At 31.8% G+C, this 16758-nt stretch overlaps 1 protein-coding gene across 6 annotated transcripts in view; it reads left to right on the top strand.

The window, feature by feature from the left end:
- The first annotated feature begins 897 nt into the window (after window positions 1-897).
- The window catches only part of CDH19 (cadherin 19), a 103008-nt gene continuing 87147 nt past the window's right edge, over window positions 898-16758 (top strand). For 4 of the 6 annotated variants that reach the window (NR_073130.2, NM_001271028.2, NM_021153.4 and 1 more), the window contains exon 1: window positions 898-1034. The gene's annotated coding sequence lies outside the window, so the exon portion shown is untranslated. Of the gene's footprint in view, window positions 1035-8623; window positions 8830-16758 lie in introns of those variants that run through there. The other 2 variants (XM_047437484.1, XM_047437485.1) reach the window with 2 other exon arrangements.

The following is a 16758-nucleotide window of genomic DNA, read 5'->3' as shown; positions in this document are numbered from 1 at the left end:
CATGTATGTGTATGCATGTGTGCACATGTGCATGTGTGTATATGTGTGTGCTTGAGTGTCCTACTTTACTGCCCATATAGCTTTTGCCATTTCTTTCCTCAAAAGCTAAGAGGATAGTGACCAAAATATCTATCAGAATTAACAGGATGCTTGAATAATCCTGCCCCACATAGACTTTCTTATTATATAGGTATAATTTAAGAAACTTTTAATATTTTAATGTTTCTCTAGTTTGGTTCAAAAATGGTTTTTAAGTAAATAACAGCTTGAGTAAACAGCATAGAAAATACATATGTATTTTATGTTAAATAATAATAGCTTATATCAAAATCTAATTATAACCATGAATAAAATAAAAGATTTTACATAATAATAAACCAAGGAAAAGAAAAGGACTTATTAAAGTTTAGACATTTCTCTCTCATTATGTCTTTACTTGATTTCTGAGGAGAAATGACCGAATTAAGAAACAGCCATGAGGCATAGACACACAGTGGAAAATCATTTCTCTTTTCAGTAAGTTTTGGGTCTGCTTTAAATTGATCATTTGTTTCATCAGCTAATCCCCAAACAGAGGGCACGTCCGCTCTACTTGCAAAATTCTTGTATGTAAGTTGAATTCTCCCTTTATCAACTCAGGCCAATAAGTACTTTATTTTGTTTTTGCTTGTTGTTAGGGGAAAAAAAAAAAAAACAAAGATAATCAGCTCATACTACTTGCGTAGCTGTCTGCATTTTAATTCCAGACTATGAACGAGCGTCAGAGTGCCCTTATGATATTTTGCACAAAAGGCTCAGTGTTTATGACTCTACTCAGAGAACCCAAAATAGCATTGAGTAAGCAGTGACATACTGACAGTGTTGTGGTACTAAAAGCACAAGCGTCTGTAACTCTGGGCAATGGGGCACATCGAGAGTTTGCTGAGAAGACTGTGAAGCAAAAAGAAGAAAGTTTTTCCTACTCTTCCTTATGTGTCCAACACGAAGTTTGCTGTTCAGTTTTCACAGAACTTCTAGAAGTTGAAGTTACAAAGGTAAGACTGTGATAATCAGGCATATTATAAACTACATGCATCATCTTTAATGAGTCAATAGGTCAAAAAGTACATGACAAAATGTTGCTAGGAAAATATTCTAAAAATATTAAGGAAAATATTTACATAGGAAATAAGGAAAATATTCTAAAAATTTTAAAACCATGATGTGTACTTGTACTGAACTTTCTCAAAACACGTATTTGTGAGAACAGTTCTCCATCTCTGTAATACAGATTGTTGGTGTTGGGGGGAAGTTACACCTATGTTAGGATATTTAAAACTTCTCAAGTTTCTTAGAATAAATGAATCAACCTTTCTTTGCATGTCTTTCTTTGCACTTTTTTCTTTGTTCAGGGTTTTATTTTTTATTTATCATGTATTTACCATGTATATCAGGTAATATGAACAATAGAGTTGTCATCATTAAGTATATGAGAAAAAATATATACAGAATAAATATGAAAAATTTTAAGTATATTATAATTCCAAAAAAATTAAAATATTAGCATTGCTATGAATAAAAACACATATATGCCTAAAATTGTACAGGCATATTAATTTACCTATATGTATTATAACATTTATACATAACACAAAAGGTAATTTCTCAAATATGAAAGTATAAATTAAGAAAAGTATAAATTAGGAAAATGCATACTGTAAAAGACATTTTATATTGTTTCAATTCTAATTTGGTACATGCAATTTTAATTGAATAACTAATTATAATAAAATATTTCAAAATAAGTTTACCAAAGGGATTTAATAAATCTATTAAATATAAAAACATAAAATATTTAGCAACAAAAAATACCTAAATAGAGTGGCAAAGGTTTTCTTTAGATTATGTCAATTTATATTTTAGCTCTATTAATTCATTTGTTGAATTAATATATCTGTAAGAAAGACATTATTTAGATAAAATATTTGAAAATTTAGTAATATATATTTATGTTTTAGATGTAGTTACAATATTAAGTAAAATTATATGCATTAATATATTCTTTTTTCAAATTCTTAATATTGTAATTATCAGCAGTATGCCTACTTACTATAATTTTTGATTTCAAAGAATTTAAATTTCAATGTAATGTGAACATTTATATTGACCAAATAAAATAACTAACAATTTATTTTTAAAAGGAATAAGCATTTCATTATTGTCTGCAATTATTCAAAATTTTTAAACAATCAATTTATGTCATTTAGAAACCACCAGATCTCCTTTCCTTTACATATGTTTTCCACTTTACCAAGCCTTTATAACAGTGAACGAAATGCTCATATCATTATATAAATATCTGATTTTTACAGTCTTACACATTAGTAAATTCTTTACTTAGGCTCCAGTGAAATATTTATAATTTTAGGCACACACAGACACATCTGCATATATCGAAAAGCATATGTCTTCTACTTATATTTTTTGTTTTGTTTTGTTTTTCACTTAGGAATGTTTGTAAGGTACATTTCCTCAAGAAACATAAAAAAATTTTTGATTAAATTATCATAAATTGAAGATGCTTTAAAATGATGTGCACAGATGCCTCCTATGCATTATTAAGAAACCAGATCCATCTTTCAGGAATTTCTCCTAATACAGCTACATATAATCTGATACATATCATCTATAACTAAATATCAACTGATCATTTTTGCCACTCATGATCTTAGCATGTACTCTTAAATATATGTTATGTTTAAAACATTACATAGCAGTATTCAGCATGTTAGTGAGTAGTAATGCATTAGGAATAAATGTGTTAAACTGTTTAAAAGGAGATATTGATCTTTCTATATACCTTCTTTACATGAGAATTTATTGCTCCTAACCAAGTGTTTGAGAACCATGCTGGTGAATAAGAAAAATTTGTTGTCACGACGATTTCCTTTAACATCGATGATCTTCTATCACCTGTATCTTTGCTTTGGTGAAACAGATTGAAGTTGAAACACAACTAAGTATGGAACGTAATAATAATCCCACAGGAATCCTTTCTATCAATGGTGAAGACAGCCCCTGATTGACAAAATGAGTGTCTTTGCAAAAGTGACTAGAAAGATGTTTGCCACTTTAAAATCAAATCAAAACAAAACAAGATAAACTGTACCCTTACAGCGTTTTTTTTTACCCACTCTCACCACCTTTCAATTGAGAGAACACAGCTAAATGCTCTAAAGCCTGTCAAAATGTGTAACAGATCAATTTCCTTTTCAAATGATGCCTGCCCTCTTGAATATGCTGATATGATTCGTTAAGAGAATGCTTGTCTGAATTTAAAACATACTCTAGAATACATACCTTTGTCAAAATGTGTCACATTAATTACTCAATAATTATATTCAGAATCATCCAAGTATGTCTTAAGATTAAAGCAAAACATCATTTTTAAAAATCCTGCCTTGGCACAACACGTGAAATTTGAAATGTTATTTTAGGACAGTGGTTTCTCAACATACCAGAGCAGTAGATCCAGTTTAGCTGTTTTTTAATTCTAAGAAGTTTCATGATAAATGAAATTTGCAAATTTGCAAGATACTGTATTAAAGTGGGGATAATTTTGGCACATCAGTCATGTCTTAAAATAACCTAGGCAGTTTTATCTGTGTGCAAAATTTAGAAATGTCATTCCTGTGGAAATGAGCAAATCATAAATACATCACAGAAAAGAAGTCGCTATTTTTTTGACTTTAAGTTGTTTTATAGTTAAATTGTGTCAGAGAGTTTGCCATCTATTTTATTCCTAAAAAGGCCTGGTGGAGAATATATGACTTTCCTTGATGTAGAGATAATACTACTAAACATAAAGATAAACATAAAATGTAACTAGAATAATAATAAAGGCAAAGAGAAAAGGTATAGATGCATCTCTGAATTTTCAAGAGAGTAGTGTCATTTGTCACTAAGCAAATACTTCTTGACAGTGCTTGAAATTGCTCTTGAACTGGTAAAGCAAAATGTAACTCTTCCCCCATAGTATTTGATGAGAAATAAATGGGCTATAATGTCACTCGTCAGGTGGATATAATTCCCCTTCTTCTAAATAACACTTTTCTTTGGGAGACTATGTAAGACATTGGTTTATTTTTGATTATTTTCTCTCTTTTATCGAATGCTTATAGAATAACCCAACCCTGTAGGCATATGAGGATTTGACTCCAAATTTATTGGTTAATAATAAATAAGCGTATTGATGTTTTCACACACATATGTGTACCTGGCTACACATTTCTCTATTAACAGATAATTTTGAATGCATGTGTATACTCCTTTGATAATTTCAAGACCATGTGAATTATTTATAAAACTTTCATGTCATTTTATACAATATGGATTTAATAAAACCACTTACATGAAATTTAATTTAAAGTATTTTTAAAGATACAAAGCGATGTTGTCATTTTGTGTACGTGTGTGTGTATTGCATTTTTAAACCAGTGTTTAAAACATACAATTCTTAACTCACAAATATGATTTTTATGAGATTATAATCATGTCATTGAGATTTTTTTGTGCATAAAAAAGGAAAAAGCAATAGACTTTTAAGAGAGTGAGTTAAATATTAAAAATCTCAGCAAGACATTACTTAACTGACCCTTAAATATTATGAAACAAAACATTAGAACTTTAGGGTTGCCAGATTTTTAAAAAATAAAGTAAGGAATTATTTTATATAAAACATCATCCCTTTCAACAGCATATTCTAGCTGTCTGTATACTTATTGACAATTTGGTGCAGGTTCAGAGTCCACATAATTTAAAATTTTAGGAATAAAGTCACATTTATTTATTCAATAATCCCAGTCACGCATTTAGATTATACTAAATGCTGTTACATTTAAGTACTAAAAGAAAGTATGTTTATTCTATCTGGCACAAATTTCAAAGGATTTACATACTTAAGATATCCTATCTATCTTTATTTTTAAATCCAGCTTGTAACATGAATTAACTATATTCACGACTGTTTCATAAACGTTCATGACTGTTTTCCTTCCTTAAGTTGATACATATTTTTAACCCATTACATACAACCCTTGGACGTATACTTTACTGTCTTCTGTGTTTAAAAAACTCAAAACACTTCTGTTTTGTTTTATACCATACACATTTTTGTTTATAATTAAGGTGATATTCTTGAATTTCTCATTTTGGGAATTAAAAAGTAGAAATTTATTTATCCTATATTCATGCCATTAATGTTAAAACAATTTATTAATCTGTTTATAGGATGTTTTCAATATTTATTTTTTATTGAAAATTGACAATTTATAATTGAATAAATTTATGAGACATAAACTGATGTTAGAATTCATGAAAACAATGTGGAATGATTAAATCAGGCTAGTTAATATATCCATCACCTCAAATATTTAACATTTTTTGTGGTGAGAACATTTAAACTTTGCTCTCTTAGGAATTTTGAAATGTAGAATACTCTACTATTAACTGTATTCGCCACACTGTCTAATAGAACCCCTTCTGAAACGTGAAACATACTCCTCCTGTCTGAGATTTGACCTTCATTTCCTCATCTGCCCCACCCCACCAGCCTCTGTAAATACCAGTCTACTTTATGCCTCTATGAGTTCCATTGTTTTAGATTCCACATAAAGATGACAAAATGTGATATTTCTCTTTCCGTGCTGGCTGAATATTACTTAGTCATTCTTCATACACAGCTCATAGCAGACAATTAAAAAAAATCCCCAAAATATGCAATAATAGCATTAAACATTGTGCTAACCTAGTCCATCTGGCACCACGTTTTATGTTGACAATACCTTTTCATGATTAAATACTCTGAATAAACTCAACAAAATAAAGTTTTACAAATATGAATTTAAGTTAATATGCAGAAAATATAAAAAATAAATATAAAACAAGTGATACAATTTTTTACATTATATCCTTTATGAAAGAGGCTAAACATTCAATTTTATATTATACAATTTGAAACTAAAATAATTCTTATCTTGAGATTGAATTCCAAAATATTTTGTATCAAAATAATAATATATTCTTATTTACCTTTTATAGCATGTCTTTGAAGTGTACTTTCCATTTTAGTATTCTATATTTTATTATAGCTTCAATTAAATTTTTACTTTCTAACTCTGAGTTTCAGGGGGTACATGTGCTAGCTTGTTACATGTGTAAATTGCATGTTGCTGCGGTTTAGTGTACAAATTATATCATCACCCAGGTAGTGATAATACTACCTGACAGATAGTTTTTTGATTCTCGCCCTCTCCTCACCCCACCCTGAAGTAGGTTAGGCCCCAGTGTCTATTACTGTGCTGTCCATGTGTACTCAATGTTAAGTTTTCCACTTATAAGTGAGAACATGCAGTATTTGATTTTCTGTTCTTGCATTAGTTTGCTTGAGATAATGGCCTCCAGTTCCATCCTATTGGGGCAAAGGACATGATCTCATTTTTATGGCTGTATAGTATTCCATTGTGTAAATGTGTCAGATTTCCTTATTATGTCCATTGTTGATGAGCATCCAGGTTGATTCCATGTCTTTCCTATTGTGAAAAGTGCTGTGATGAACATATTTGTGCATATATCTTTATGGTAGAACTATATATTCCTTCAAATATATAGTTAATAATCCACTACTAGGATTGCTGAGTTGAATGGTAGTGATATAATCCACTACTAGGGTTGCCGAGTTGAGTGGTAGTTCTAAGATCTTTGAGATATCTCCAAACTGCTTTTCATAGTGGCTGAACTAATTTACATTCACATCAGCAGTGTGTAAGAATTCCCTTTTCTATGCAAATTTGCCAGCATCTGTTATATTCTGACATAGTAATAGCCATTCTGACTGGCGTGAGATGGTATATCATTGTGACCTTGATTTGCATTTCTCTAATGATTAGTGATATTTGGAATATTTTTTTTTATACTGTAAGTTCTAGGGTACATGTGCACCACGTGCAGATTTGTTACATATGTATACATGTGCCATGTTGGTGTGCTGCACCCATTAACTCGTCATTTACATTAGGTATATCTCCTAATGCTATCCTTCCCCCTTCCTCCCACCCCATGACAGGCCCAGGTGTGTGATGTTCCCCTTCTTGTGTCCAGGTGTTCTCATTTTTTAATAGGCTTGTTGGCTGTGTGCATGTCTTCTTTTGAGAAGCCTCTGTTCATATCTTTTGCCCATGTTTAAATGGGGTTGTTTGTTTTTTGCTTGCTGATTTGTTTAAGTACCTTATAGATTCTGGATTTGTCGGATGAATAGTTTGCAAATATTTTCTCTGATTCTGTGTGTTGTCTGTTTGCTCCGTTGATACTTTCTTTTGCTGTGCAGAAGCTCTTTAGTTTGATTAGGTCCCACATGTCAATTTTAATTTTTGTTCCAATCACTTTTGGAGTCTGTTATGGAATCTTTGCCAGGGCCTATGTCCAGAATAGTATTTCCTAGGTTTTCTCCTAGGGTGTTTATAGTTGTAGGATTTACATTTAAGTATTTAATCTGTACTGATTTTTTTATATGGTGGAAGGAAGGGGTCCAGTTTAAATCTTCTGAATATGCCTAGCCAGTTATCCCAGCACCACTTATTTAAAAGGAGTCCTTTCCCCATTGCTTATTATGGATGGCTTCATCGAAGATCAGATGGTTGTGGATATGCAGCCTCTAGGTTCTCTAACCAGTTCTGTTGGTCTATGAGTCTGTTTTTGTACCAGTACCATACTGTTTTAATTACTGTAGCCTTGTAGTACACTTTTAAGTCAGGTAGTGTGGTTCTTCCAGCTTTTTTTTTTTTTTTTTAACTTAAGATTGCTTTGGCTCTTTGGGCTCTTTTGTGGTTTCCTGTGAACATTAGTATGATTTTTTTTTTTTTTTTTTTTTGAGATGGAGTCTCGCTCTGTCGCCCAGGCTGGAGTGCAGTGGCGGGATCTCGGCTCACTGCAAGCTCCGCCTCCCGGGTTAACGCCATTCTCCTGCCTCAGCCTCCCAAGTAGCTGGGACTACAGGCGCCCGCCACTACGCCCGGCTAATTTTTTGTATTTTTAGTAGAGACGGGGTTTCACCGTTTTAGCCGGGATGGTCTCGATCTCCTGACCTCGTGATCCGCCCGCCTCGGCCTCCCAAAGTGCTGGGACTACAGGCGTGAGCCACCGCGCCCGGCCTAGTATGATTTTTTTTAATTTTGTGATGAATGTCTTTGGTAGTTTGATAAAAATAGCATTGAAACTGTAAATTCCTTGAGGATTATGGTCATTTTAACAATATTGATTAATCCTATCCATGAGCATGGAATGTTTTTTCATTTATTTGTGTCCTCTTTGATTTTCAGTAACTTTTGTAACTCTCATTATAGAGAAATTACACCTCCCTGACTAGCTGTGTTCCTAGGTATTTTATTCTATTTGTGGCTATTTGAGTGGGATTGTGGTCTTGATTTGGCTCTCAGCATGGACGTTCTCAGTATATAGAAATGTTACTGATTTTTGTACCTTGATATTGTATCCCAAAACTTTGTTGAAATTTTAATGAGATCTAGGAACCTCTGGGCAGACTTTTCTAGGTATAGAATCATATTATCTGTGAAGAGAGATATTTTGACATTATCTCTTCCTATATGTTTGCCTTTTAATTCTGTATCTTGACTTATTTCTCTGGTTAGGACTTCCACAGCTATATTAAATAGGAGTGGTGAGAGTCAGCATCCTTGTCTTGTTCCAGTTCTCAAGGGAAATGTTTCCAGCGCTTGCCCATTCAGTATCATGTTTGCTGTGAATTTGTCATAGATGGCTCTTATTATATTTCAGGTATGTCCCTTTTATGCCTTTTTTTCAGGGTTTTTAATATGAAGAGATATTAAATGTTATCAGAAGCTTTTCTGTGTGTATGGACATGATCATGTGATTTTTGTTTCTAGTTCTGCTTATGTTATGAATCACATTTATTTATTTACATATGTTAAACTAATCTTGCATCCCAGGAAACAAGGTAATCTTATCATGATGGATTGAATTTGATATGTTGCTGTATTTGGTTTGTTAGTATTTTGTTGAGGACTTTTGAATCTATGTTCACCAGGATATTGGCCTGAAGTTTTCTTCTGCTATTGAGTCTCTGACAGATTTTGGTATTAGAATGATGCCGGCCTTATAGAACGAGTTAGAAAGGAGTCCATCCTCCTCAAATTTTTGAAATAGTTTCAGTAAAATTGATACCCCGTCTTCTTTATAGTATCTGGTATAATTTGGCTGTGAATTCGTCTAGTCCAAGGCTTTTCCTTTTGGGTAGGTTTTTTATTACTGATTCAATTTTGGAACTCACTATTAATCTCTTTCAGTTTCTTCCTGATTCAGTCTTGGGTGGTTGTATGTTTCCAGGAATTTATCAATGTCTTCTAGGTTTTCTACTATGTGTGCATAGAGTCTCTCAGGTTTTTTTTTTTTTTTTTTTTTTCTGTGGGGCCGGTGGTAATGTCCCCTTGGACATTTCCAGTTGTGTTTATTTGGATCCTTTTTTTTTTCTTTATTAGTCTTCTAGTACTATACTAATCTTATTTATTCTTTCAAAGAACAACTTTGGTTTTGTTGATGTTATGTGTGTTTTTCATGTCTCCATTTCTTTCAGCTCAGCTAGCTATTTTTTATGTTAACTCTGGGTTGGTTTGCTCTTGTTTTTGTATTTCCTCTAGGTGTGATGTTACGTTATTAAGTAAAGATCTTTCTAACTTTTTGATATGGACATTTAAGACTAATAAACTTTCCTCTTAACACTGCTTTAGCAGTGTTCCAGAGATTCTGGTATGTTGTGTCTATATTTTCATTAGTTTCAAAGAACTTCTTCCTTTCTGCCTTAATTTCATTGTTGACCTGAAGGTCGTTCAGGAGCAATTTGTTTAATTTCCATGTAACTGTATGGTTTGAGTGATTTTCTTTTTTTTTTAATTTAATTTTATTTATTATTATTATACTTTAAGTTTTAGGGTACATGTGCACAATATGCAGGTTAGTTACATATGTATACATGTGCCATGCTGGTGCGCTGCACCCACTAACTCGTTATCTAGCATTAGGTATATCTCCCAATGCTATCCCTCCCCCCTCCCCCCACCCCACAACAGTCCCCAGAGTGTGATGTTCCCCTTCCTGTGTCCATGTGTTCTCATTGTTCAATTCCCACCTATGAGTGAGAATATGCAGTGTTTGGTTTTTTGTTCTTGCGATAGTTTACTGAGAATGATGATTTCCAATTTCATCCATGTCCCTACAAAGGACATGAACTCATAATTTTTTATGGCTGCATAGTATTCCATGGTGTATATGTGCCACATTTTCTTAATCCAGTGTATCATTGTTGGACATTTGGGTTATTTATTTTTATTGTTATTGCACTGTGTTCCAAGACTGTGATTCGTATGACTTTGGGCTTTTTGAACATGTTGAGAATTGCTTTATGGCCAAGTGTGTGGTTGATTTTAGAGCATGTGCCATACGTACATAAGAAGAATGTATATTCTACCGTTGTTTGATGGACTGCTCTGTAGTTGTCTGTTAGTTCCATTTGGTAAAGTGTCAAGTTTAGGTTCTGAATATCTTTATTAGTTTTCTAACTCATTAGTGTGTCTGATACTGTCATTGGGGTGTTAAAGTCTCCCAATTATGATTGTGTGGTTATCTAAGTTTCTTCGTAGGTCTTCAATACCTTGGTTTCTAAATCTTGGTTCTCCAGTGTTGGGTGCATATATATTTAGTATAATTAAGTCTTCTTGTTGAATTGAACCCTTTATCATTATGTAATGCCGATTTTTGTCGTTTTTGATAGTTGTCTGTTTTGTCTGAAAGAAGAATAGTAGCTCCTGCTCTTTCTTGTTTTCTGTTTGCTTCATAGATCTTTCTCCATTCCTCTACTTTGAGCCTGTGGGTGTCATTGTACATGAAACAGATATTTTTAATTCAGCACACAGTTGGGTCTTTAAAAAGTGGGGCATTTAGCCCATTTTCATTCAGCACATTATCTATCTTCTAAAAAATCCTCATTAACTCCAAACCTCTCATTGCTATCATCCCAACTCTCTGTTTTCCCTCTCTCAGCAACTTCTTTGAAAGACTACTTTGAATTGTGGAACTTCATTCTTAACCTCCAGTTACCCTTCAATTCATTATTTCTGTTTCCTGAGATTCACTCCTAAAACTTCTCTTCAGCTATACAGCAAATTATTAATTTTTCTTAATTGAAGGCCGATATAAAAGATCAGAATTGGAAACTTATGGTGTACATTAGTGGAAGAAATAACCAGAATTATTCTTTATGTTGTGGTCTCTTTCAGTGACAAATTAGAAAATATATATATTTTTGTGTTCATCTGTTAACACTAGTTTATTTTTTAATACAATGTGATGTAGAACTCTACTTTCTTGATACCCTGAGGTTTTTTCGACTACTAAGTTTTTCTACTATGCAAGTCTCCAAATATCTTTGCCATAATCCTATCCAACATCTTTAAACACTTAAGAGAACTTATATGTCAAAAAGTACATGGCTTATCTCAGCAATTAGGTTTTAAGTTTAGACACAATAAATAATACATTGATAAATTTTTTTGTATAAGAACATTTTAGATATCAATTTATTTCTTTAAGATAGAGTCACAGATGTGAGATTGAAAATAAAATGACTTTCAGTATTTAACACTCCAGAAACATTATTGGTTACTTTCAAAAATACAATTCCTATTTATTTTGCTGTTATTATAAACAATTTATAACAAGAATTTATGAACTAAGGCCAATAAGTATATGGAAAAATTTTCAACATCACTAATCATCAGGGAAATGCAAATCAAAATCACAATGAGATATTATTTCACCCCAGTTAGAATGTCCATTATCAAAAAGTCTAAAAAAAAATACTGTTGTGAATGTGGAGAAAATGGAACTCCTTCATTGTTGCTGAGAAGGTAAAATAGTACAGCCATTATGTAAAACAGTATGAAGGTTTCTCCAAAAACTAAAAATAGAACTAGATAGAAGTAATATATGATTCAGCAATCTCACTACTGGGTATTTATTGAAATGAAAGAACATCAGTATATTGAAAATATATCTGCATTCCAATGTGTATTGCAATATATGTATTGCAATTCACAATAGCCAATATATGGAAGAAAACTAAGTGTCCATCAAGAAATAAAAGAATAAATAAAATGTGGTGTATATACACAATGAAATACTATTCAGCCATAGAAAAGAATGAAATTCTATCATTCACAGCAACATGGATGAACCTGGACTGCATTACTTTAAGTGAAATAGGTCAGGCACAGAAAGATAAACACTGCAAGTTCTAACTGTTATTTGAAAGCTAGAATAAAATTAAGCTAACAGAAATAGAGTGAAGAATTATGATTATTAGAGAAAGGAAAGAATGGAAGAAGAGGAAATGGGGAAAGATTGTTTAATAGATATAAAGTTATGGCTAGAGAGGAGGAACAAATTCGTCTTTTCTATAGCACTGTACAGTGAATATGGTTAACAATAATTTAATTTATACTTTTTAAAAAGCTAGGAGAGGATTCAGAATGTTCCTAACACATACACACAAAGATAAATGTTTGAGGTGATTGTTGTCCTAATTACCCTGATTTTATCATCACACATTGAATACATGTATCAAAATATCACTCTGTATCCCATAAATATGTACAATTATTTGTTCATATTTGAATATGTACAAAATAAAGATTTTAAAATTATTATGAATTAAGAACTTGGAGGTAATAGGAGGTAAATGAATTTACTTGAGGGATTTAAGACATAGAATTAATCATAGTTCATCTCTAGTCAGGCTTCATGCTCAAATGTATGTATATGGGAGGTTAGCTGAAGGAAACATTAGAGAAGAACCTTTTATTCAAGTGTGAGCTTTCAACAGGATGCTGATTTCATTAAGGGAAAGAAGGAACATAACGATTAGGTGGAAGAGTGAATAGAAAGTAAGAATTTCAGTATGCACTTTGAAATGCCTCGTGGAAAGTAGTTCTGTAGGTCTGGAGATTAGAAAAGAGATAAATATGGATTGCTTAGACTGTTTTGTGATGCAGTAGGCAGATACTCACTGAAGCCACATAATCTGAAGATATTATGTCCAGAATGTGCAAAAAATGTCTTCAAAATAGAACCCCAAGATTTAATTTTCCTCAAATACCAATATGACTTTTCAGGAATGTTTTTTCCATTAAAGTAAATAGGAAAGTAGGTAAATAGAATTCCACTTGTAAGTTGCTAGATTATCAATGATTTTCAAAATCTATATTCGGACGTGACAGTGACAATATAAGGTAAGAATTTTAACCTTCTGCTAAATTAAAATTCTATCTAAACTCTCTTAGTTTTTATAAGTATTTATGATAGATTTGTACTGTTGTCTACTGCCAACTCTGAAAATTTTACATAATAGAAACTGTGCACACTAATCTTCGGTGTATACACCTAAAATCATTTGTAAATGATCATAGCAAATATTTCCCGTTTTCAATCGTTCTGACTTGGAAGGAGCCCTCTCCTGCATGGCTTAAATAGCATTTATATTGAGAGCTGCTCCTTTGATGATTCTTGTAGCAATGGGTGATTACCAGTGATTATCTTATGCACTCCAGGAACTGATTAATAAGCATTTATTTAAAGAAGTCAGACATTATAAGTATTTAAATAAATCTCATGTTTATATGACATGAGGACCTTTATTAAACACTTGATATATTCTAACTACAGTTTCTGTTATTTTTAATGGGATTTATCCAGAAGATCTAGAGGTTACATTTATTAAATCGTCTTGCAGCTGAAGATACTCAATCTGAGATTGTTTAAGAATCTTGACTAGTGTCATGAAACTATGGTATCATGGAGGTACAAATCATTACATTTTATGCAGATTCTACTTACGGGTCAACATTGACTTAATGTTACAAAATGAGAACTTAAAAAGTAATACATAAAAAAAATCACTGCTGATTATCCTCTTGAGGAAGAAAGGGAAAATGATAGACCCCAAACAGGCTTAGGTGGAAGATACAGACCCGCAAAATCCAACATGATTATGCCATGCTCCTTCATCTTACAAGGAAGTCTGCAAGGAAGTGTTTATATAACACAGCAGGCTCACCATGCTTTTAAATGAACTATGGAAAAATATGAGAAATTTCATTTATATTTATGCTTTACTTCATTCTTTTGCATTTCAATTTTGAGTTCATTTTAGGAAATACTTTACATAGTGATAACATTTGTGTTTGTGAATCATTAGTATATAAATACATATACAAATATTGGGGTTCACCAGCAGTATTTCTTTCTGATAGGAGAATAAATTATGAAAAGTTTGAAAAACACTGTTCTATAAATAAGTGTTAACCAACTTCTACATGCATTTTCTTTTTTTTTTTTTAAAGATATACGTATTCCAGAAAATGGCTTCTGCAAAGACATTGGTTAAAGGTACCAGCTCTAAAGAAAGCAAAATTCTTTGTCTTAATTCCAATCCCACCAATTGCTTTATGGCTAAGACAAGTTACTTAACTTCAATATGCTCAGTATCTGCATTTATAAAATAGCAACATAATAGAACATATACTATAGAATTATTGTAAGACAAGTCAATTAAGGAATGCCATTATCTTTGCATAGTAATCATCACAGAGTAAACACTCAGTATGGTTGACAAGATGATGATGGTGATGATATTTCCTGAAAATATTTACCGTAAAGTCATCTTTGAGGCTTGTTAAAAAAAATACCCAGCTCATGAATCAGTAGCTGTGGAGTGGGATTATCTGTTTTGTCAAGCTTTTGAAATGATTCTGTGTTTCTGTAGAAACAATTTCCCTGAAATTGAGGGATCAAACTAACCCTTATTTGTCTACATATTTATTTAAAGATTGAGGTATTCTCCACATTCACAATAAAATTTTAAACTAAATATAATGAGGTCTAACAAAATAATAATAGTTTTGTCATATTTGTTCATTTGTTAAAGTCATAATTACTGCTATTGTCAAATAAAGTGCTTTTGCAGGCCTGGATCAAATGATTTTTATATTTCACTCAGTTCATGTGAATCAGATTTATGTGGTTCTGTGATATAATTATATTAATTTTTAGATTTTGTACTGATTCTACACAACACAAACATATATATACATAAAGAAAGGCAAATTAACAAAGTGCATGACTTTAGTTTTCTTTTTCCATTCACGAAGGATTGTGTTTTATAAAATCATGTTTATATTATATCTTTTCCATAACAAAATAGTACTTTCTATACCATTTGGCAGTGGTGCTTACTAAGTATTATTTTTGATAGTAGAGTAAATTTATAGATATTACAGTTATAGAGAGATGTGCTGAAAGGACAACTGATAATTGGAGAAAGGAACATTTGGATGATATGTTTGTCTAGGTATTATGTAGCTACTATCACAACATCAGCAAAAACTGTCAAATTGAATACAATGGTTTATTTACTATACTAAGCAGTGGCTAAAAAGAGTTTCAACAAGTGCAAAGTGAAACTATATCTTCTTAATGAAAGCATAAGAACAAAGAAATAAATACTGTTAGAAATTCTTGGGAAAATGAAATACACTGTTGGTTCGAAGAAAAATATGTAATCCTTCATGTTGCCTTTACAGATATATATATATATGTGTGTATATATATATATGTATATATATTCAAATATGTATATTCATTCAATTTGTCAAATATAATTTACGTGATAAACATGGTTAACTAACATAATGTTTGATCATTATTCTGAACAATGTTTTAGGAAAAAATAGTCTTTGCATAATTTTATGACTATGGAATTTCCCACTCTACATGTATGGTAATTGGTGGTTTTGTTAAACCATCATGATTTATTTGAAGGTTCATGAAATTTTCAGTCTACCTTATTCATCAACCTTTAAAGATTTTTATTTTTACTTTTTAAATTTTTTCTTGTGTTGTTATTATTGTTGGAAGTAGGAAGCATTATTTGTTTATTCTCTGCTTTCTAAAAAGCTGTTAATTCATTAATCATCAAAAGAAGCCTGGGATGTATGATTCCCTAATCAGTAGTTTAGTGGTGTATCTGCATATATTCCACTTCAGTCTTCAAACTGTAACTTTAAGTGAAACACTGTGTAATAAAACCAATTTTATCAGAGGCTAATTGAGATAAAGGAGAGTTTAGTCCCTATGACATATTTCTGGTAACAAAAACTTCACTAAACTTATAAATAAGGACCAAAACATTTCTAATATTAAACACTGAAATAAATCTGAGCTGTATCTATATATATATAGATATAGATATAGATATATATGATTAGTAAAAATGAGTAAGATCATTATTTACCCAATTTTGGGCGAATCAGTGAGTGACTGGCAGTTGTGGTGATGGGTTAAATCAAGAAATGAATGTTGGCAAAACAAAGATTGTCAGGATCACCTCTGGCCACTATGAAGTTCAAACACAAGAATTAACAAATAACAGCTGGCTCGCTGAACTCTTTCCTACCCAGCATAGTTTATTGTCCTGCATTTGTATGATGATCATGTACTTTACAAATCTTCATTTTACAATAATTTGTATTCGTTTATTTTCCAACCTGGTTATTCCAGTTCAGGGCCATGGGTGACAGGAGCCTATCCCAGAAACCCAGGGAGATTGGTGGGAACCAACCCTAGACAGGGTGCCAT

Source organism: Homo sapiens, chromosome 18 (assembly GCF_000001405.40).
Source record: "Homo sapiens chromosome 18, GRCh38.p14 Primary Assembly".
NCBI lineage: Eukaryota > Metazoa > Chordata > Mammalia > Primates > Hominidae > Homo > Homo sapiens.
Note: the sequence above shows the minus strand (reverse complement) of the source record. Positions and strands in the feature narration are given on the sequence as shown.